Here is a 23,418-nt window from a genome sequence, read left to right as displayed (position 1 = left end):
CAGTAGCTGCCCTGTTAGGTTATTCACATTGCTTTGATACGTTCTGGTAGAGTTGGGTCCGTTGTAGCCATTTTGGTTGTTTAAAGTTTTGGTTTTTTTTTTGTTTTTTTTTTAATTCAGCAGAGAACAGTAATGCCTAGCTTCCGTTTTTAACTTAACACTTCAGTAGAACATTTTCTTCCAAGAGGGAGATTTTGGCCTAAGTAAAGTAGTGGGCTCTTTTTTAAAAAAAAATTAATTTTACTTTAATGTGAGCAAATCTGTATTGGTATGGTGTTCTGCAATGCATTACACTGACTTTGAAAATTTCGAGTACTAATGCCTTATGTCTGGGGTTACCATTCCCTGTGCATCACATACTAGTTAGTTAACATAGCATTTTGCTTTTCCCATGTAATTTTTTCCCTATATAATACTGGATTCCTGATACTAATTGACTTGATACAAAAGAATGGCTGGATGATATCCAGATAACGTATAATACATGGGCTTCACCACAATCAGGCTCTGAATAAATACAGACCTGTCAGAGATTGATAAAATAAACTACAATGGATAGTGCTGTTTAAACAGTCCATTCAATAACATATATAAGCCAGCCTGCCTTCCATTGTGTCTGAAATTCTTATTTTTGTAGGTAAACAAATGCACATTCAGCACTGATTGAATAGCCCCTTGAACTATGCTCCACAGTTTGCGTTTGGGTTAATCTTGTCGGTTTTAATATAGAGAGAAAAAAGCTCAAAGCACCAGGGGTGGAATTGTTAGTGCTTTCACATCCACATTCCTCACATTTTGTCAGGATGATAAACTGTAGGTAATGGACTGTCGTTGTTCTGCAGGACAACTGAGCCAGGCAGAGCACAAAGACTAAGCTAAAGCGATACCTCACAACATGCTTGGTAGCCTTCTTTTCAGATGAGAATTTATTTGAGAATCATGTGTCTAGGGACTGCACATCTTAACCTCAACAGTTACAGCTTCAAGCCCCAGAAACAGGAGCTGGAGGTTAAGATGATTTGCTAAGCACCTGGTTCTAAATCTTTTACAAAGCATAAGCTGTTGACGCTGGTTCTGCCGACGCAAAGACATGCAGATGACTCCAACATTTCCAGAGGCTTCTGACTTAAGCTAAAGTGTGTGGACAGGTGAATTCGCCATGGGCCTGGAGACCAGCTTGCTAAAAACTATGTGTTTGAATGGTTCCTCCAGACAGAGTCAGCTGAAGAACAATTGGTGGATTTATATTAAAACCTCTTGTCTGTAAACTTACTGAGGTGCATCCTTCGGTTGGTGGATCAGTGAGATAATTGCCTTCAGATGGACATTGCAACTGGAGCAACTAAATCCTTGCTGTCTTTCCTTCCTCTGAAATCTTCCAGGTAGCTCCCGAGAGCTTCAGTATGACACCAAACTTCGGGCGACGTTTTAGAGTGCGTTCACCTAATGGGAAACTATTCGAGATCCCAGCGTGACTGCAGTAATGCGTCATAGGAATGGGAGTGGCAGGGGAAAAGGAAATACAGATTGTAGACCCTAATAAAAAAATTTTTAGGAAAGATATTTCTTTAACGTTTTATGAGAACTTCATTCTTAAAATACTTAATTGCAAATTAGACAAATAGAAGTGCTCTTCTAAGGAAGGTGATTAAACTGGTCCTCCTATCAGCCTAATCTCTGCCTGCCTTTGCTGCTGACATAAAGAACCTGTTTTTCAGGTCACTTAATATACATCTACATAGATTTGCTTATGAGCTCACCCTTTGTGTAGCGGAGTAGAGCCTTAAAGAGGAGTGCTCAACTGTTTAAAATATTTTGATTAAAATATGCAGAACCCATAGAACTATAAGCTTCTAGTCAGGAATTAGCTCTTTCAGGGAACAGCTCCCCCCTTCTTTTTAAGGGGGGAATTAGAAGGAGGCTGGGGGAGGAATATAAGAACAGCAAAGAAGGAAGGATAGCAAATGGGACATGTTCCGAACAGCTTGGAAAAACTCCTGTGGCTTCATTGTCTCTATAAAGCCAAAGAATACAAAGACATAAGCAATTCAGCCCTTCTCCCATGATGGAAGATGTAAACCGTTGACATGCCTCCCCTGTTTAACTTGTTTAATTCTCATTTTAAATTCAGCACGATACTAGCCGTGTGAACTCTGAAGATTTCTTTAGTAATCCATTTTGTAGTTCCGAATCAAAAACAAAGTGAAAGGGTCTGACACAATTTGCTTTTATTTTTAGGCAAATCAACCCTGGTCATAGTTAATAAGGGGATTACAACTCAGACTAGGTCTTTACAGATGTGATGTAAATCAAGGGCAGAGTATAAAGAAACTGATCCCTTTTGATTGAAGTATAGTAAAAAGGCATAGAGAAACTAGCAGCAGTAATCTGATTGTATGGCAATAAAACCACCATTTTCTGTCTTTCAGATAAAAATAATGTGGTAAATCCATGCAGTTCATAAGATGTAAAGGCAGATAAAGGGTGAAGCCATGGCAACATATAGATTAGCTTGATGTTAGAAATGACACGTCTCTGAAAAGGGCGCGGGACGAAGGCCCTTGCCTCCAGGCTGTTGGGCATTATGTGAGAACCACACAGACTTGGAAACTGGGATTAGGAAGTATGAAAGCTCTACTTGTGGTCTGGGATGGCTGAGGCAGTAAAGAAAAGCTGCTCAGTTCTTGCTCATTGGTGGTGGATAATATGGCAAAGGTAGATTTCATTGACTGCCTTTTTTATAGATTGAGATTGGGGCTGATTAAAACTTCAGATCACTGCAGTTGTTAGGGCCTGGGAGATTTTCCTTTTTAACTCCTGGCCTAACAGCAGCAGCCGTTCTGTAGGATTAACTGCACTTCGCGGTCGTTGCCTTAATCTATTTGGGCTTCAGGCAGGGACATGCTGGGAAGGAACAGAGACCAGAGGGGATAGGTAGGGCTGGGGTTATCTGAAAAGAAAACAGAGACCTTTTGATTTCAGCCATCTTTTCAGACCCAGCTCCCTCTCCCGCTGCATGGGAGAAGCAAAGGTAAACAGGACACATTGTCCCTCTCCCTCAGCCACAGAGCTCTTCTGTGAGTTTTGTCTTTCCCACCCTGGAAAAAAAGATAAAATACAATTTTTAAAAGGGGAGGGAGGAATTTAGTTTTAATTCAAATGAGTAGTAATCCAATATGCCAAAAGCAGTGGGCTCTACCTAGATGTAATTTTACTCGTAAATGTGAGTCTTAAACTTTGAGTTGAATGGGGCAGGCTGTTAGAGGTGGTGTAAATTACAGGATTATAAAAATGTTAGTGCTGCCCAGCCTTAAAGTCAAAAACAGAAAAATCTCTGTGCTGTTGAGTCTTCCCGCCCTCTCTCCTGAACAACCTTGTAAGTAAGCTAGACTTTTGTTTTTGCCTTCCATACTTTCCATTTCAGCCATTAAACAAAATAAGCCATTGAAACCACGATTGGGTTCCATGCAGAGTGACATCCGCAATCGGGTCAAGCCAGAAGGAAATACTTGCTCGATTGCCCCCTATTTGGCATTACAGGAAAGTCTCCACACTTTGGAAGAGTCTGAACTCTCAAGACATTGAAAATGCCAAAGGCTGCAAACACCCTGTGTCTTTCTTGATGGAGTGCATCTTGGTGTGTTTTACAAAGGGGAATTCAGTGCTGTTTTTTTGTTGTTGTTGTTGTTTTTTTTTTTTAAAGAGCAGCATAGGGCCCTTCTAGACTCTTGGATTCTGTGTCTGACAAAAATGGTCATTAAATGAGCAATATTATAATTTAGACCCATTTCACTGATTTTGTTCCAAATTCTCAACTGACTTGAGCATCTGTTTGGGGCTGTAGATACATTGCCCTTGTTGACTGTTTTTCTCGTTTCTATGGGAATTACTGTAGCCATTACTATGTAGCTTTCATAGACTCAAAACATTTTTAAAGTATTGCATATAGGCTGGCCATATCCAGTGCCTGTTACTTTACCTTCTTTTTCTAACTTAATGCAGCAGTCTGTATTAACAGATCCATTTCATTTGTCTAGCTTCATCAGAGAGAGGCTACCCCCTGATTTACAGGCTGCTCACATCCAAGCACCTTGCATTCTACACTTGACAGTGATTGCTAATGGCCCATTCAACTAAAGTATTTGCTTGTTAACAGGGAACAGAACATGATAAATGTCCAGCAAGCTTGCTGCCTCCTTCAGCTTTTCAAACGCAGACTGGTGCATATTTATGGCAGGCAAATGACAAAAGAAAAAGCTGAATTGCCCTGGCCTCCAGCTTTCTATCAGAAACAGGGTTAAAGTGATTAAAGCAATCATTCAAGAAAGCCCTGCCGTTTGTTTACTAACCTTCATCCAACATTTAGCTTTGTAGTCTACCTGTGAGAAGATATTTCAGAAGTATTAGAGATAAGGAAGGAGGATCTAGCAAACCAGTGAAAAGAGTAGGTGACCAGTTATAAAATGCTTTCCATGCACATTGAATGCCAGGCGAACCTATTTCTGTTATTCCAGCAGACAATCAGCAGTGGCTCTAGATTATTAACATATTTTCCTTTCATGTATAAATTCAAATATGTAATTCTAGTCCAAAGCATTCTGTGGCTGGTAAGCACATACTTGCTGATTTCAAATAAGAAAACATAGCAAGGGAAAGCTCCATTAAACAAGTTGTTTCTGCCCTTAGTAATTCTCTAAACAAGATAGGAAGAAAAAGTGGACAGTAGTGGAGTATTAATAGTGTGCTCTTTTCATTCTCTAAAGCACGAGTAAGTAAGCGTTCAAACTACTCTGTGGTGGGCATACATTTAGAGCGCTGTGAATGAACCACTGCTGTTCTGCCATACTTAATTTATTTATATTATTATTTTTATTTTATTGTTGTTTTTATGTATTATTATAATTATTTATTTATATTACTAATTTATTTTCTCAATTTAAATCCTGTTGCATCCAATTTTAATTACAGTTTTTGTATCTGCCTTCCCATACTTGCTACCCACGTCCCCATTGCCACTGCGGCCTTATCCATGTTTTCTGTGTACACCACTCTCGTATCACCCCAGAATAATTATGAGTGCTACCCAGACTTTTGAAACCACTAGAGTCAACATGTTTGTCTTTGAGGAAAGCCAATGATGCTTTAGCATTTTTGGCAGGGGTGGATGTGTGTTTAAGTGGGGTGGGTGCAGCTCCTTATTGTCTGCCTATTCTACTGTTGTTCCCAATCCACATTCCCTGCGGGGCACCTAACCTGTGTGCATAGCAAAGAATTTCCGACCTTCAGAGCCAGAAGTGTTTCTCAATTGATCTCTTCCAGCCTAGGGTTATAGCTGATGAATTATAATCCTTGCTCTTTCCACACCTTTACCTGGGCTTACCATGGCCCTAAAACATTTGCCCAGAATCAGAATTGTCTCATGAGTGAGTGGGGCAAGGCAAATCCTGTTCCAGACCAGCTGAGAATGTACCTAGCTGCAGAAGAAGTTAGAAAGTGTCATCTTTTACTTATCTACCAGAACTATATTCGAGGTACATTTTAGATTTAAAAAAAAAGCAAGTTCTCGTAGGCCTTGAATCCCCCCCTTGCTATGGGAAAATGGATCATTATTATAATGGACTGTCCAGTAAAGTTCATGATTTCTCCTAGACATGTTCTCTCTCTTTATGACCTAGATCAAGAGTGATCTCTTTAAGTCTTTTCTTCATAATCCCACAGCACTTTGTACTTAGATGTACTTAGAAAGAACCATATACACGGTACGTCATGATTGATATGCAAGCCTTCACCACTCTACCTGTCCTAAAAGTCAGGGACACACCTTCTTCATTTCATCAGTCCCTACTTCTATCCAGCATTGGCATCCAGTAAGTATTAGTGGAATGGACAGACAACCCGAATTTGTGCTGATGGCAGTTTACCCTGTTTTAACTGTCATCCTTCTGCTACTAGACATGGATGAGACCTGAGACGATGGGACTGCTCAGAGGTCCCTGGCTCTTGAACTTTAGGGCACCAGAATCCCCTGCAGGGCTTGAGAAAACAGGGGTTTCTGGGCCCCACCCCCAGAGTTCCTGATTCCTGAGGTCTGGGGTGGGGCTTGAAGATGGACATGTTTAACAAGCTCCCAGGTGACGCTGGCAACTGCTGCCTCAGGGCCATGCTGAGAACCCTCGCCCTACACAAACCTTTCTGGGAAAACAACTCAACATTAAAGCTGTTTGGGGATCTCTGAAGAAATCTGTAGTCCTTGCCTTGTTGGGGGAGCATCAGGGATCTAACCATTGATGGTGGAGTATTTGTTGTTAATTCAGCAAGCAACTATTAAGTGTTAGGCCTGTTACTCGGCTCTAACAATACAAGGCAGAGTGACCTGTACCCTCGAGATTTAAAGTCTAAGTCCTGTAGAGAGAAGCCCAGGTGGGAGCAAGCACATTTAGAGTTAGGTGCTTGGTGCAAGGTGGGGACACAGAAGAAGGGAATGGCATTTGCCTCTGGAGGGGTCCGGAAACAGCCTAGGGAGGAGGAGCTTGAGTCTTGAAATACTGTGGGCATCTCTAAGCAAAGTCACAGTAGACAGCTGAAATAAAGAAAATAGTAAGCAAGCCAAAGAAACAGTATTTCAGCCAAGGGCAGCGTGTGTCTATCACGTCCACCTGTGAACACGTCCCAGGATTCTCTGCATCCGGCCATTGCTCAAGACAGATCCCTCACAGGAACAGCTAAGCCACTGATTTCAGCTACCTGTTCACGTGAGAATTATCAGTACCTACTGCTTTTCAAAATGAGTATGATCATGGATAGGTGAGGCAATTCAGTTTCGCAGAGACAGTAGGGCAAGTGCCACTGTAGTTTAGTTAAGGGCACATGCTTTAGAGTTTGGCTATGTGAGTCCAATCCCAGTTTAGCCATTTATTAGCTGGGTAGCTTTAGGAGCAGTAGCCTTAGTGTCTCTCAGTTGTCCCATCTCTATAATAGGGACAATAACATAATAGTGCTGAATAAAAGAGTAACAAAATTTTGGTCAACATTTAATGTATTTAAAGAGCTAAGCTCCGTGATTGGCACAATGAACCAATCAATCAAACACCAGTTGTTATTAATAAAAGTCAGTTGAATATGTACTGTGTGCCTGGCCGTGGTTCAATTTGCCTTTGCATACAAGGAAAAAATTAAAATACTCTGTTAATAAAGACTATAGCATAATACTTTCACCTTAAACTTCTTGATGTTAATTTATTTTGTTTACCTGCCAAACTTCTACTCATTCCTTATGACTTTCTGCTACATGAAACACCCTTTGTAATTCTTTTGTCCTATTAAATTAAGTTCTCTCTCCTCTGCTTTCCTGCTTTTGGTGCTTTCTAATAACACTTTTAACCCTGGACTTTCTCATTCAGCTGTGCAACTGTGGACTGAGAGGAGGCTCTTTGAATTCATTTTGTATATTCTAGTAGAGAGTACTGTGAGCAGTTGGGTTGTTGAATGAATACATTAATTCAACCTGGAGGGATGGGCAGTATTGCATTTTTTACATTGATATTACATGATATTTAGAAAACTGCTTAACTGGTGGACGTTGTTTTATTAACAGCATTTTGTGTATAGCACTCACTATGTGCCAGCTGCTATTCTAACTGCCTGACAAATACTCCTGAAACCTTCATGGTAACCATATGAGGGAAGCACTTTTAATATATCCATAATACCAACGGGGAGACTGTGGCCAAATTGGTTAATTAACTTAGCCAAAGTCATATTGAACTAATAAGTGGATTTAAACCCAGCTAGTCTGGGGCCAGGGTCCCTCTTTTAATCTTCTGCCTCCTGCTTATGCTGTTGCATGGAGTAGTCTTTATCATATAACTAAATTAAGCATGCATTTGCTTAAAGCAGTGCATACATGATGGATCAAAAAGTTTGTGGTATAATTGGTTTAATTCTGTCATTATCCATTTTGATTTATAGTCACTTTCTTATGATGGTCGTGTAGTTTTAAATGGAACCTTTGAATCTTTGATATAATAAGGTTATGTCAAATCTTGGGTATAATAAGGTTATACCCAATGGAAACAGAATAATGATCAGCCCATTTAAAGGATGACTGGAGAGTTATTACAATACATAATAGTCATGCATATATTGAGTAGTATTCCTTTGGTAACATTTTCCTTTTAAAAATTGTAACATTTGATTGTTCCTTGTTGGGAGAAAAGGAGGTCAGATTTTTGAGGGGAGATCCATTTGGTGAGATGCTGAGTGTGTGTCAAGCTAAGGAGATAGTATGACATCTTTTTTAGAGTCTAGTCACAATTAAATGCCATTTTATTTTGGATTTTGGGATCCGTGCCAGCTTCCAGCTTGTCAGAGCTGAGAAGACTCAAATCAAGTCCAGGCTTATTTCTACAGCAAACTGGGATTCTGGCTTCTTGCCGGTGGATTCATTCAGTACAGCCCATCTGGCTTTTGATGTTCTGCAAGTTTGGAGCCATTTGTTGAAGGAAGCCAGGCGGTGAATATTGGTGGTCCTGGGGTTCTCTTGACTCCAAGTGGTGCCCCTTGGTTTGCATTTTCACCATGCTTAGCATCTGCTTACCTGGAGACCATGCAGCCGCCGGCCAGAGGTCTCCAACAACCAAATCTTCATGCCTTTTAGAACTCAGAGTCCCCAGCACATCCTCCTTCCTCCTCCTTGTCCAATTACTTTCATGCAGTTCTCAGTAGCTGCTTGTTTGAATCACTTATAGTATTTAACTTCTAGGGTGTTTTTGGGTTTTGGTCAAGGTAATTCCAGGCTGAATGTGGTGACTAAGCAGGAAATAAATGGGTCGTCCTCAAAGTTACAGTGGAGCGCTGTTTCTATTTTCCTAAGGTACACAGTTGTGGGGGCGATCCGTATGGAAGTCAGGAACCCAGTCTGATTTTGCTTCCTTTTGATGGTAGCAGTACAGACCTGGCTGTTTTGTAGCCTGCTTTGTTTTTCTTCCTTTTCTTCCCTAACTTCACGGGCTGTGGCAAAGCCCTGAGACGTGCAGGAAAATGTCTCCTGTCATACGCCCACAGCAGACCTAGCCCTGACCCTCCTCTGAAGCCCAGGAAGGAGGTATCTGTGAAGCAGCCTGCTTGTAAAGCAATTGCACACAGCCTTGTAAACTGTGTTACTGGGCTGATTATACTTGATTGGCAAGGTGAATCTCTTATAGCAAAAGAGAACTTGGAGAGTTTTATCTCATCTTATGCCTTATTAATTTGTTCATTCTTTAATTACACAGCCACCTATTGAGCACCCTATTTATGCAAGGTACCTGGTCGGGGGTCAGAGGGAGGGTCCCATGGTAAACGAGACAGACTCAATCCTGGAGGAGCAGGAATGGCAGCCCCTCGCTGGGCTGTTGGCCCCACCAAAAGGGAAAGGTTTCATTTTAATAATACATGGGTGAATCATTTTTGTCAATAGGCAAAATTCTTTGTAGTTAAAAAAAAATATGATGGTAGGAAGGAAAGGGATGGGCAGAGGGTTAAAACAAAAGATATGCTCTCCCTAACTCTAGATTGTAGTATTGTTATGCTTGTCACTGTAGCTGAATTCCATTTCTTTGAGTTTTTTCAATGCCAAGGCATTCCCTGTATGACTTACGTGAGCCTTTCATCTCCGCGATTTTTCCCATTCAGGTAAATGAGCAAATGGATTTGAACACTCATATCTAAAACAAGAGAGAACCAGCTGGAAATGCCCTTTGAATTTCTTTCTCTATGTAAACCATTTTTCTTTCTGGTGCCTCACCTATAAATAACAGGAGTTCCACCTTCCTTTATAGACTCTTGCTGAAAGCATGGTTTGGAACAAGACCGTACAGGTGCACACAAATTACAGTTGGGAAAGAAGCCTGCAGTGCATCTTGTCTCTGAAGGTTATGAAATCCTCCTTTTAGTAATGGAGCTGGCGTGATCAAGCCAGCAGGATGAAATTTGGCATTTGTGAGATCACCCCCCTTCTCACTTGCCCACTGTACATAGCATCCCAGCCTTACTCTTCAAATCTCCACATTTTTTCTTATCTAGCTACAAAATTCATAGGCTGATTTTTTTGGGGTGCGTGTGTGGTTTTTTTTTTGTTTTTTTGGTAAATAAAGACCTGCATTTTTATTTTGATATAGGTGGTTGAGTTTTGTCTTTAATTTCATGACAGAGATTTAACTAGTCTCAACTTTTGAAAAGACAACAATGATATTTGGGGATCACACACTTAAAGTTAGATTTCTAGATGATTAATACCAAAGTAGATGATTTTTTAGCCTCAGCCATTTATAGGTATGCCCTTCTGTGAATTTTTTATGACAGTGAAAATCATGGCACAGATAAAAATTAAATAAATACTTCTGTTATTTTCCTGAAGAAAAAAAAAAAAAGCTTAAACTATGAGAATACTGTCTTTGAGCACTTTAAAATAAAATTGACTTCAGCCAGCAGGATTTTGAGCATTACATCACAAATAAAAAACAAGATTAACATCAAAAGGAGTCAGTTTTCATTCAATTGTGCAGCACTGTGGGCTGTGAAATTTAATATTATTTTGACTCATATGCTAATTGTAGACTGACAGAGGAAAATGGATTGTGTTTAAATAAAAGGATACACAGCATCACACGCAGCTGTATCAAATACAAGTTGAGGTCTTTGGGCCAGGAACTGGGGGCCCTCTAGCTCTGTTATTGCAGATTCAAGTTTGACAAATAAAACTTTCCTTTAGACTGTAGTTTAATTACTTTTTTTCAAAGGTATGCGTGATGAAGAGGCACAAATACACCTCACCTTGAAGAGTTGCTAAACTGGTTTGTGTGCCGATCAGTTCACCGTGTGTTTGAATTTCTGTGCTTCTCATCTTTCCTTTTCTTGAAAAGATTTTGCTTGTCATTGGTGTGAATTGTACCCCCCACCCCCACCCATCTAGTCTTTGCTCTCAGATTTATAACACTTTAATGGTTCCAAATTGTATAGCCTGCTCTTAGACCCCTTTTCTTTTCCTTGAATAAATCAGGTTCATGTTGCAGACGATATTTGTTTTAGGAAAGTGTGAAAGAAGGGGCACCTGTGAAAACACGCAATTGTTCCAACACACATATACATCCAAATTAAAGCAGAAAATGTCAAAGCCTCCAATCACTACCTTATTTCTTGGAGGTTTAAAGCCGCTGAGAAGATAGTGGTGCCCTCGCTGGAAGTTTTAAGGTAATTACTTTTTACTCTAAGCAGTAGTATCTGGTAACCTAATTCCGTATAAACCTGACACCCTATCGCTACACCCCAGTATTTCTCTGATTTCAGAATAAGTCTGCGTAGAAACTTGTTCTGATGTTAAAGTGCAAAAGGGGGCAGTAAAGTGCTATCCACAAAAAAGGAAAAACATTTTCCAAGTATTTCTTATTACTGCCTGTGTCTTTCGTAGGCCCTGCCTTTATTTATTCATTTTATAACAAAACTCTTATGTTTGGGGCATTCAGAGAATACCTTATTAAGCTGTTGCAGCAATCTAGCATTAAATGGAAGACATGCAAGACTGAAGATCCTGCCTGTTTATGAAGTGTGCCATCAAATTCACATGCTCATGATGCAGAGTCCTTCTTTGGGAGTATTCGTATTCCCAAGTGCACAGAGCACTTCGGAAAGGAGCCTTGGTCTTTGGTGTTAATGCTCTCCTAGCTCCGTATAGATGTGGCAGGCCCAAAGTACATGGTGGGGTGAAGGGTCAAGGGTTTGGGCTTATCCAGAGCAGCGTGCATCCTTTGTCAGGAGGTGACTGGAAACACCAGCCAATTACAGCAGAACTGCAGACTGCTCATCTGCATTCGGAATTGCAGATGAACCAGTTTGTACTCGACTTCTCTTCTTCACTGTAGGCTTTGACATTTAATTAAAAATTAAAGCCTTTTATGGAAAAAGTACATGTTTTCCAAAATGGGGTAAATTCGAAGTATACTTGATACAGAACACTGGCTTGGGAATAAACCTGTGATATTACATGACTTTTGGTTTGCAACTGCTAGGCTGAGCCTCTTTGTAAAGCTGGGATTTAGAATCTTTGAAATGTTTGTACAGTTCAATGATTAAGCATAAATTGTATATATTCCCTTTTTTTCACTTATTTGAGTAAACAAGTTTGTTACTACAGCTTCTGTGGACTCAGAGATTTATGTATTAAATAGGCCACAACTTCAACTAGGATAATTTTATTTATCTGCTTGTTAGGGAATTGCATCAAAAGTTTAAGTCTGTAGGCATTAAATATTTTAAATGCTTATTTTTAAAGTCAATTATGAAAGATAGCACAAAGTTTTTCTGAAACTACATTAAAAAAATAATGTTTTAATCTTATCACAAAAGCATTGACTATTTATTGCAAAGAAAACACAGAAAGCTAAAAATCATTCTAAGTCCACCATTCAGTAGCCCAAAGTGGTCTCAGGTAAAGGCGGTGTGTGTGACCATTTGTTTATGGTTGTCTCCGTGCAGTCAGCAAAATAAACAGAACAACATGCCATATATTATTGATGTGTATATTTTCAACTGAAATTAGCCATCTGCTTACAATGATCATATACACTAATGGTATAATTTTGAAATGAAAAGAAAAATAAAATAATTCTTTGTGGAGAGTAATGCGAATTGACTTATGAATCTCGCCCTGCTTGGCAGTTTGCTCTAGAGGTAGAAGAGCTTTATGTGTGGGCCTCCTCCCCCCCCACACATTTATTCTGCTCACACTTGCACCAGCATCCATGTCAGGACTCACCTTGTCCTGTTACATGAGTAACATGGCCCTGATTCTCAAGTGCATGATAACTGCCATAATTACACATAAATATTAAATATTTAAATAGATCTTTACGTGTGTAATATTAGGTAGAAGTGGCTCTGGATCGAATCTGATGCTTTTTAAATAGAAGCTTTCCCACAACATTTCCAAGCACTGTCATCGTGTCTGTCTCGATTTGGGGTTTACCTGGCCTAGTTATCTGTCTGGGTGTAGAAACTGGTAGTTCCTGTTTGTATCTTTTTTGTTCTGATCTCTTTATTCTGTGTCAGCTAAATATTCTTGCAGTCAGTTACTAACATATTAACTCATCCTTGTTTGGAAACTTTGGCATATCCTTCCATGGTTTCCTTCCGTGGACCTGTCGCGTCTCTCAGGAGAGCCACCAGGTATATTGTCACACATTTCGCATGTATTTTCAGAGACTACAGCAGCATCAAGTGGCCCCCCAGCGATTTGGGTTTTCTTCTCGGTTAATCTACACTCTTTGGCCAACCGTGAGAAAACTTGTAAGAAGGCATCAGATGTTTGTGCTAAGGTGCGTGTAGTATGGTCAGAGGAAGAAAGAAGCAGGGAAAATGGAGTGGCCGTGGGTGGGAGGGGAAGCAGGGAGTGCAATTTCGGGTTCACTACACAGCTCTCCATAAACTTCTCCACTGCTGGCTTCCCACGGATCCTCCTATTACACTGGGCAAAGTGCAGAAATAGATCAGGCGACCACTGCCTCCGTCCATTTCCCAGGCACCCTGTGAGACCCGATAATGCAATACAGGTCAGCAGAAAAGTCCAGACTTGACATCCCAACGTGCCATGGTCTGGTCTGTGAATGAAAATCACATGAGGTGACCTCTGAACTCTAAGTGGCTGGTTTATGTTTTCAGTGTATTAGGCCCGTGTTTTAAACAAGCATGTGCTCGTAGTGTAGGTTAAAACTTTCTGTTGTCTTCATTAATTATGCTGTGTTCTAGTCTATTAATATTAAAGAATATTGTGTTGCATAATGACTAATTTTTTTATTTTTTGGAGACGGAGTCTTGCTCTGTCACCCAGGCTGGAGTGCAGTAGTGCGATCTCGGCTCACTGCAACCTCCGCCTCTCGGATTCAAGCAATTCTCTGTCTCAGCCTCCGAGTAACTAGGACTACAGGCGCCCGCCACCATGCCCAGCTAAGTGTTGTATTTTTAATAGAGACGGGGTTTTACCATCTTGGCCAGGCTGGTCTTGAACTCCTGACCTCGTGATCCACCCGCCTCAGCCTCCCAAAGTGCTGGGATTATAGGCGTGAGCCACCACGCCTGGCAACATAAGGACTATTTTTTAAAGTTTTTACAATTATGACTGTGAAGTTGAAATGTCTAAATTATTAGAGATCCAGTTTAGATTACTAAATATTTATGTCTAATTGAGATGATTAGACTTAGCCAAAGTATCCATGTAGAAGTATTAGAGTCTAGATTGGTGAAAAACTTGAAAAAGCTTGGCTTAAGTTCAATAGGTAATCCAAGAGTAAAAACAGATTCCAATATCAGATCTTTTCACCATAGTCATGTTAAGTTTGGAAGCCCTACTTGAGTGTTTCCAGTTTTTTCCACATTATATTGTGTCTATATTTGATTCAAAGGCAGGGCATCTATTGTCTTGCTTAGGACTGATTCACTGGGAAAAGCCACTGGAGTTGCCTATTTCCACTCAGTATGCCTCACTCTTAGAGTAGCTTCCCATGGTTCCCAGGCAGGCCCTCCAGTGAGAATGCACCAAGCCACACGCCATGGCCTGGGAAGCAGTCCTGAACCTGGAGATTGTCTTGATGGAAAGGAAGAGGCAGCCTTCCCCTCCCAGGAAGATAGTAGAGAGCCTGCTCTGACTTCGCTCAGGGATGGAACTGGTCTGGCTCAGTTCTCTCTCCTGTGTGGGACATGAATCACTCTTGGTGGTCTTTGCTTTTTATTTGGGCTTAAAATCAGCAGACTTTATTAAATGACACCTCTCTCTAACCACTCTCTGTCTGGGCGAAGTTTAACAAGAACAGCCTCCCCCCATGTGGTATGGGTTGTAACTGTGGCGGTTTCCCTCTGCTGTTTTTGGTTACAAGATGAACATTATCTGAACACACAGAAAGAAATCTGTATTTGGCATCCATAATGGAAAGTCAGTTTAGTAATTTAAACTTAGCCAGTTATCATCATCATAATTCTTTTTAACACTTTCAAAGTCAGCATAGGAGAAGTGTATTGTTGAATATTACAAAATATTTAGGGCATAGATAGATGTGCTGTGTAGTTTGATTTGTTAATGTGTCTAAGCAATCAAAGCAACAGAATTCAAATATAAACCCCATCACTTCCAAAATAGGAACTCTGTTTACTGACTTGATTATAACATATGGAACTCAATTGTTTTCCATTAAAAAATGATACTATTAGGAAACTCACCCCATTTTCTTTTCATATATATTCTGCTATTTGCATAATTGTCTGGAGTCCATATGTAATATTAAATGTAAAACACAAATGCCATGTAGCTGGTCTGTTTCTTCCTCACCTTTTGGTTCCTGGCCTCCTGGGGAAGGGTTGCACATCTGAGCCGTGGTCTCAGATGACTGCCTCGGAAGAAGCCTCTTCCCTTCAGGCACCACTGATGTGTGCTTGGTGTGGAGCTAGACTTTCCCTGGCTCTCCATGTGACGCTCACATGTGCGTGTCTTGATTTCCCTTAACTTCATGGCTTATCTATGAACAGCTTGATTTGGGGGAAAAAAATGTGTTTCCCAATGCTGGAGTTATAATTGAATGTGCTGCAGTCAAAACTGAAATGTGTGCAGAGAAAGGGGGCTTTTCCTGTCATGCTCATTGGGCACCAGTGTGTCTTCACCTGTTTTGTGTGTTAGGTCCATGCGTCATGCTGAAATGAAGAACATGGGATGTATGGGGCTTTGGACAGTGCTGAGCCAAAAGCAAGTGCTCAAAAGCAGCTGTGTTTGTATTATTAGTGGTTCTGGAGGTGGCTGATTGCCTTGCATTTTAAGTAGAGAGGGATTGTAGAAGACTGCCAATACTTAGAACTTTTTCCAGAGAGGAAGGGTCAGAAACTGCATCTGCAGGGCTCCTTGCTCTCCAGAAATGCCAGTGTGCCTGGGAGGGCATCTTCAGAAATCCAGTCTCTCCTCCTCAGTGTGTCCTGTACCGACTCAGTGGTTCTGTCTTCAGAATTCCTATCATGTCTGTGATCTGCAAATAGTGGTATTTAATTTGACTTCAATTTGTATAAATGTTAGCTTCTATTTGTTCATTCCTATTTTTTGTTCAATTAATACATTATTTATTGAGCATCTACTCTGTGTCAGCCCCTTGGGTGTTTAATACTGAATTAGTCACATGTGGGACTTGCCTGCCCTCAGGGAGCTAGACTATAAATTCCTAATGATCAGTGGTCTCCACTTTTCTGTCACTCATAATGTCTGGCACAACATAGGTTACTTGAGTTGTTACACTCACAGTACTGTTGTTTGCTGCCATGGTGCTTTAGGAAGTGTGAGAGTTCCCGGGAGGCAGAGTCAATAATGCAGACTACACGTAGTGAAAACATGGCCAGGAGAGCTGTAGTTCAGGCTCTCAGCTCAACTGCACTCTGTCCACTGAGAAGCCATAATTTCTTCACTTAAAGTGACTGTGCGCTATGGCTGTTTATATATACGCTTAAAAAGTAAAAGCTGCTAAACCACTCAAGGATTGGGGCCTTTTGTATTGATTTAATTAAAGGAACAATCATTGTTTTAATGAGCTCTAGAAACAATTACTTTTGAAGAGCCGAGGATCAAATTCTTGCCTCACGTTTTGCCACAGTGTGTTCTGAAAGGTGAATTAATGCTTTTGGAATCATCAGGAATAGTGAGCTTTGTCACGATTTACTTTTTACAAGCGTATCTAATATGCATATTGAAATGTGAGCCTCCCCACCACACTTCCGCTTTGATAAGCATCCCCCGGATTGCCGTCACTGACCATTATAGATTTTTAACAAAGTTGGACAGTACACACTGAATGAAAACTTTACATCAAGGAAGGCCTGGCGTGTTTGTAAAATGAATTAAAAGGCTCATTAAATGATTTATATGACTTACGCCTTCTGAAAATATGGCCTCAAACACAGAGATCCCCAAAGCCACACCGACCCCTGCGTCCCATGTTCTCGACCTCACCGCATCAGCACCAGCAAGACCTGTCGCTGAGACGGTGAGTGATGAGAGTCAAGAGGAGTGACTTGCATGGCCTGGGAGGAAACCTCCTGTGAATCTTTAGTTAAGCAGGAAAAAAAAAATCCTCATGAAGGAAACAGGATCTTGGGAGCATTTTGAATGAAGAAGGAGCTTAGTGAGCCAAACTTGAGACATAGGGTGTAATGTGGGAGAGTTTTAAGATTTGCAGAGATGTACAGCTTGGGAGGGGGTGTAATGCATTTTCTTAAAAGAGCTGAATGAATGGTTGAGGAAATGGGTACATCTGGTTTGGTTAAGGATCCTAATCTCTGAAGCCTGGGATGCCCCCAGGGCTTGTAATTTAGGAATACTTCCCCTAATAGTAGCTAACCCTTATATAGTGCTGTCTGTGCAGGCTACAAAAGGAGCAGATTAAGGATAGAAAAGGTTTGGAGTGTATGAGAAACCCTAGGCAGGAATTGACTCCTGGTGTTTGTAAACCTTAAAGATGTCCTAAAAAGGTCAAGGAATAAGACAGGAGAAAAAGGAAATGTCAGGAAGATGATCAATTTAATGTTTATGGAATTTAGTTTGTACTTACTGCCCGGCATCTTGCCTGAGGTTTTTAACCTCAGCAGCACATCAGAATTACTGTGTGTGTGTTGGAGGGGCTGGGGGAGATAAAGAAATTAGCCTCATCCCAAACATTCTGATTCAGTCTGTTACTTGAGAAACTGAATTGTGTTTTGTCCATAAAGAAGATGAAATTGTCTACAGAGAACACATTGCCATTCACAAGGTTGAGGGGATACCACAGAGAGGCTCCCACTGTGATTTGCATTTGTCAAAAGTTCTAGAGAATTCTTCAACAGTACACACATGGTTGTTTTAAATATATCATTGTTATAAAAATTCGTTTTGAGTTCTGTTTCACAGAAAGTTTTTTTGAATGAATGAATGTCATATATCCTTGCTAAAGGAGCTCAGTTAAAAAAAAAGGGACCATCCTTCTCTTTTGGGGGTTGTACAGTAACACATTCCCAAGAAAGAGGTAACAGCCACATACATTTTTCTTCCCAATAAAGAGTGTGGGTTTTTAATATGAATCCATAGTATGATTTCTGTTATGTTTTGTGCTGCTTCATAACCACACTCATGCACTTTTCAGAAAATTAATACCATTCATTAGCATAAATCATAAACTATTCCCTTGGTATGGGTTTGAAATTGGGGGTGCCCTATCATCCTTGCTTTATCTCTTAGTGAATTATGACCCTGTAGTCATCATGGCTGGTGGGCGTCTCTGGTTAAAGAAAGGGTTGGATTGGAAGGATTCAGAGGCGATTCTTTGTTCTTAGGCTTTAATATTTTAATGAGCCTGCAGGCTTGGCTGCTTACGAACGAGCTGAGATTTCTAAGTGTGTTGTTAGTGTTAGCACTTGTAGAAGGATGTTCATTAGGAAGTTCTTGTTTCAGTTTTTCAGAGAAACTCCCCATTAAGAAAGATCATTCAGGAACATGGCTACCAAGAAAGAGGAAAGGGAGGAGGGAGGCTTTCAGCTATAAGCATTAAGGGGATATTGTATCAGTAGTCTTAGTTCTAAAGATTTGCTTCTGAGAATTAATTGGAGCAAATACATCTCAAGGGAAGAAAAAAAAAGATTTATAGGGCAGGGACAGTAGTTGTCCTTGCAAGTAGAGGACACTTCATTTTGCAGCTGAATCAATACCACAACTAATTATTTCTGGTTATCTTTTACGCATTTGTAAGACATTGCTTTTGTTCAGTGTAATAAAAAACCCATTGTTTGATCAGTGACTGACTAATTATGATAAGTAATTTGAAACATTCTTGATGAAACTTGTCTGTTAATTAACATCAACAGCACAGGGAAACTAACAGGACAACAAAGTATTAGTGGATCCACTGTTCCCTCCAATTGACGAGCTTTCTCTGTGGCATGCCCAATAAACTAAAGCTGCCAATGGTTAAAAAATAACAAACATGTGGGAGATCTGACTCACCACGGAGGAAGAGTTATGGTAAAGTTACACAAAGGAGTACTGAAATATTACAAGCGAGGGGGTGGTAAAGAAATGTCAGCAGGTAGCCTGATCCTACAGCTTAGAGTAAGGAAAGTGGTTTCTTTCTGTCTTTCCTTTTTCTTTTAAAGCTTAATTCCAAAATACATTCATCCCATATTGATCTGAAGTAAGAGACTTTTGATAAATTAAAGTGTGAATCTGAAAATGTGTAGTTTGGGATTATGGGCATTGCCTGGCTATCTTGTAACTGTCATTAATACTGTTAATTTTTATCAACTCAATGGCTTTTTTTTCTTATGCTTTTAGATTTCTACCTGGACAAGGACTGGTACTATACCCACAGATAGGAGACAAATTGGATATTATTTGCCCCAAAGTGGACTCTAAAACTGTTGGCCAGTATGAATATTATAAAGTTTATATGGTTGATAAAGACCAAGCAGACAGATGCACTATTAAGAAGGAAAATACCCCTCTCCTCAACTGTGCCAAACCAGACCAAGATATCAAATTCACCATCAAGTTTCAAGAATTCAGCCCTAACCTCTGGGGTCTAGAATTTCAGAAGAACAAAGATTATTACATTATATGTAAGTATAATTTTATTCATTTATTTTATAGAAATTAAGATAAGCTATATAGGTTTGTATCAATTTTTTGTTTCCTTAAAATTATTGTGACAAATAATTTGATGAAAATCTATGTGGAAAAATTGTCCCCCCCCCCTTTTTTTTTTTCAAAGAAAACTTCATTGAATTTGGGACCCTGTGCTACCAGTATTCATTAAGTATACATACCCAAAGAGAAAAAAAAACACTAGAATTCTTAATAGTATTGAAATAAATGTATTATATGAATATATTCAGCATCTCTACTGACAAAACCATTTTTAAGGACCATTGGTGGATTTTGATAGGTAAATCTTGTGCATTGCCTTTTCTCTTCACCCATCCATCCATTCATTCACTCATTCATTTCGTATTTATTCTGTGCCAGAGACTGTGCTTAAGGGCTAGGGATTCAGCAGTGAAAGGTGGTAAAATAGCATGTTTTCCTCAAGAAGTTAACAGTCTAGAGAAGATGGAGCTCATAAATTCGAAAGATGGGGATGACAGGTCACATTAAAACCAGATTCAGAAGAAAAAGACGAAACTTGGTTTGCTTAGTACATTACTCTTTTTTGCATACATATATATAATTTGACACGCTGTTTCAAGAAGAGATGGTACGTATCCCTTGGGTCATATCTGAGGCTGACTTGTGAGGATGTGAAGTCAGCTGATGAGCACATTTGGAGCCCACGCCTACTATGTGCAGATCTCTCGTCAGCGTCATTCCCAGGGCCCCAGGTGGTGTTAAAGTCTAGGTGACTCAGACAGCTGTTCGCGTCATTCAAGCAATGAAGTCTTTTTTCTTAATTTCTTTGGTTTAAAATTATACTCATAATTAATTGGGTTGAATTTTCCAGTGGCTTGGTTACCATAGACTTCAGTTTATTAGGGAACTGCTATCTGCCACTGGTTTATTATTTGCCCCAAGGTGGACTCTAAAACTTTAGGTAGGAGACTCTTGGTGATCAAACTGAAACTCTTGCATCTCAACCTATGAGCCGCACTTTATTGTTATTTTATTTTTTTAGAGACAGGGTCTAGCTTTGTTGCCGAGGCTGGCGTGCAGTGGCATGATCACAGCTCACTGTAGCCTTGAACTCCAGGGCTCAAGTGATCCTCCCACCTCAGCCTCCAAGTAGCTCGGACTACAGGCATGTGCCACTGCACCCAGCTCAAGAGCTACACTTCAAAGCACAGAATGAAAACCTATTTTTAAAGCCAACTTGATACATAGAGTAGCTTACCAAGAATTAGTAACAACAACAACAAGAAAAAAAAGAGAGAATGTGGTAGAGTATATACTTAGTAAGGAGTAATTATTATAAAATAAAAGCATTCTGAAATGAAACAGGTAGATGGGGTGGCCAAGTATGCAGCATAGTAGGGAAATCTTTGAAAATGTAAAATAGTTACCAGGTAAAATAAATGGAAACTTTAAGCTTTTGGAAGCCTAACAATGTATTTATATTAGTAAAGACTTTATTTTTTTATTTTATTTTATTTTATTTTTGAGACGGAGTCTCTCTCTTTCGTCAGGCTGGAGTGCAGTGGCGTGATCTCGGCTCACTGCAACCTCCACCTCCTGGGTTCAAGTGATTCTCCTGCCTCAGCCTCCCAAGTAGCTGGGACTACAGGTGTGCGCTAATTTTTGTATTTTTAGTCAAGACGGGGTTTCACCATGTTGGCCAGGATCATCTGGATCTCTTGACCTTGTGATCCTTCCGCCTTGGCCTCCCAAAGTACTGGGATTCCAGGCGTGAGCCACCGCGCCTGGCCTTAGTAAAGACTTTTAAAGTAAGACTTTTTCAGTGAAAGCTACTGTTAGGCATGACATTTACAGGCAACTGAAACTGATCAGATGCATTTATTAAGAAGGTTAATGCCCCTAGGTGGGGTGGGAGAAAGAAGGTCGTGGTACGGGAAGAGGGGACACACTAGAGATGAGATGCCCTAGGGCAGTGAACGCATGTCCCTAATGCGTGGATGCAGCCCACGTCCACCGATAATGCCGACACACCCAGAGTCTCTCTTCTTACTTTAGCTTATGACTTCACGAAGAATGCTTTGCAAATTCTAAGTTCGCACTGGGCGCAAGTGGAATTTTAGTAAACATTAAGAGTTTAACCTTTAGTGTGAAATAATATGCAAGATATGCAAATAATTGTTTACCAACATCTCTTTGCTTAATGTGGTGAGCATTTAATAATTGCTTTTTATTAATACATGAGAGATTTGTATTTAGAAGCAGTTTAATTTATAATTATAATATTAATCTACACAATAACGACATCTATTATTTTCTTTTTTTGGAAACTCTTCATACCACACTAACAGGTTCATTGCAGTTACTGAACTACTCTGGCCATCAGAGCTCTCCTTAGAGTTACGATTTACCATGCAAAAGCATATGGTAGCCTGGGATAAATGAATCTTTCTTAATACAGAATTGAGGGTCTCAAGTTTGAAACTACGAGAGGCTATTTGAATGTTGCTTTGGGGGACTGTCATAAGGGCTGGGTGGAGGACTCAGGGCTAAGAAGTTTGCCAGGAAGTCCAGTTGAGACTTTCAGCAGAGTTGAAAGACTTCCACGATGGCGTAGGCAGAGGAAGGCGTTTCAGATACTTGGGAAAATATAGAAGCCAATTTCTCACCCACCCTACAGCAAAGCTCATTGATCTACAAGTTTCCCTAGAAAGGAAATGGGAAATGCAGAGAACAAATGTTAAAATAGTTTTAGAAATTAATATTGACTTTGTATTGCTTCTGCATAAGTTCCAAGACACCAAAACAATGAATGGATTTTAAAAAGTCACTACTTTGCATATCAGACAAATGCACACACACACACACACACACACACACACACACACACACACACAGTCAAGCTCTGTACTGGCTTTTTTGAGAAGGAAAGTGTTTGAAGTTAGTAATTTTTATATCAGTACATTTATAAATAGTGCTAGGTAGCATGACGGAAAGTATTAAAATTTACATGTATATTTTTAACACTTCAAATCGTTGGTTCACTTTGAGACAGTAAATAATATTAGCATTTGAGTTCAGCTTTAATAAATTCTACATGGGTTTAACCCCAAATCTGAGTGTCTAGTTGGTAAGCGCCTTCAGAACGAGCAGTGTTATAATAAATATGTTATTGTGTGCTGGTTTCTTTCCATGGAGAGGAAAAAGAGACCTGATGCTTTGGAGGAGTGCTTGACTTTTCCCCAGTGAGGAGTAGTCCAGAGGGACTGACTTGCATTGGGGAGTACCCTACATGAACAGCATTTCAGAAGAATTAAACCAGGAACCTAGAGTCCTACTTGCTAGTCCTGCTTCCTAAGCTTAATGAGAAAGTCAATTTTATTTCTTTGAACTTTAATTTATTTCCCTAAAAAACGCTTTTAGTATTGTCATTGTTCTGGCTAATGATGGCGGTCTCCTCCAGTTTCAAGCCACCTTAGGGCTGGGCATACAAATGCAATATAGGATCACTTGTTAGTGTGGTTTCAAATGGACATGATCCTCTGTAAATTCTTTAAAAACATTTAATTTGATTTGTGGTGTTACCTGCTTTAAAATATAGTCATCACACTTGTGAGTTTCAGACGTGAATATGAATTTTTAATTTGAACTGTATTTTTAAACACACTAAGTATTAACTAAGTCCCCTTAGGAGATATGTGGCAAACTGATATGCATCCTCATTCATTCTTCTCATAGATGGTTATTTGTTTTTTAACTTGTGGCAAAATTAT

At 40.0% G+C, this 23,418-nt stretch overlaps 1 protein-coding gene across 5 annotated transcripts in view, besides 1 other annotated feature; it reads left to right on the top strand.

Annotated features, from left to right (window-relative positions):
- The window catches only part of EFNB2 (ephrin B2), a 45,918-nt gene that overhangs the window by 3,493 nt on the left and 19,007 nt on the right, over window positions 1-23,418 (top strand). For 4 of the 5 annotated variants that reach the window (NM_001372056.1, NM_001372057.1, NM_004093.4 and 1 more), the window contains exon 2: window positions 19,358-19,641. In NM_001372056.1, the coding sequence (NP_001358985.1) occupies window positions 19,358-19,641 (284 nt within the window). Of the gene's footprint in view, window positions 1-114; window positions 13,350-19,357; window positions 19,642-23,418 lie in introns of those variants that run through there. The other variant, XM_017020406.3, reaches the window with a different exon arrangement.
- Window positions 4,912-5,565: an enhancer, noted in NCBI's record as "OCT4-NANOG hESC enhancer chr13:107178953-107179606 (GRCh37/hg19 assembly coordinates)". NCBI's record gives its function as "activates a minimal SCP1, AML or CMV promoter by ChIP-STARR-seq in naive and primed H9 embryonic stem cells {active_cell/tissue: H9 hESC(naive and primed)}" and the evidence as "EXISTENCE:reporter gene assay evidence [ECO:0000049][PMID:30033119]".

This window comes from Homo sapiens, chromosome 13, assembly GCF_000001405.40.
Source record: "Homo sapiens chromosome 13, GRCh38.p14 Primary Assembly".
NCBI lineage: Eukaryota > Metazoa > Chordata > Mammalia > Primates > Hominidae > Homo > Homo sapiens.
Note: the sequence above shows the minus strand (reverse complement) of the source record. Positions and strands in the feature narration are given on the sequence as shown.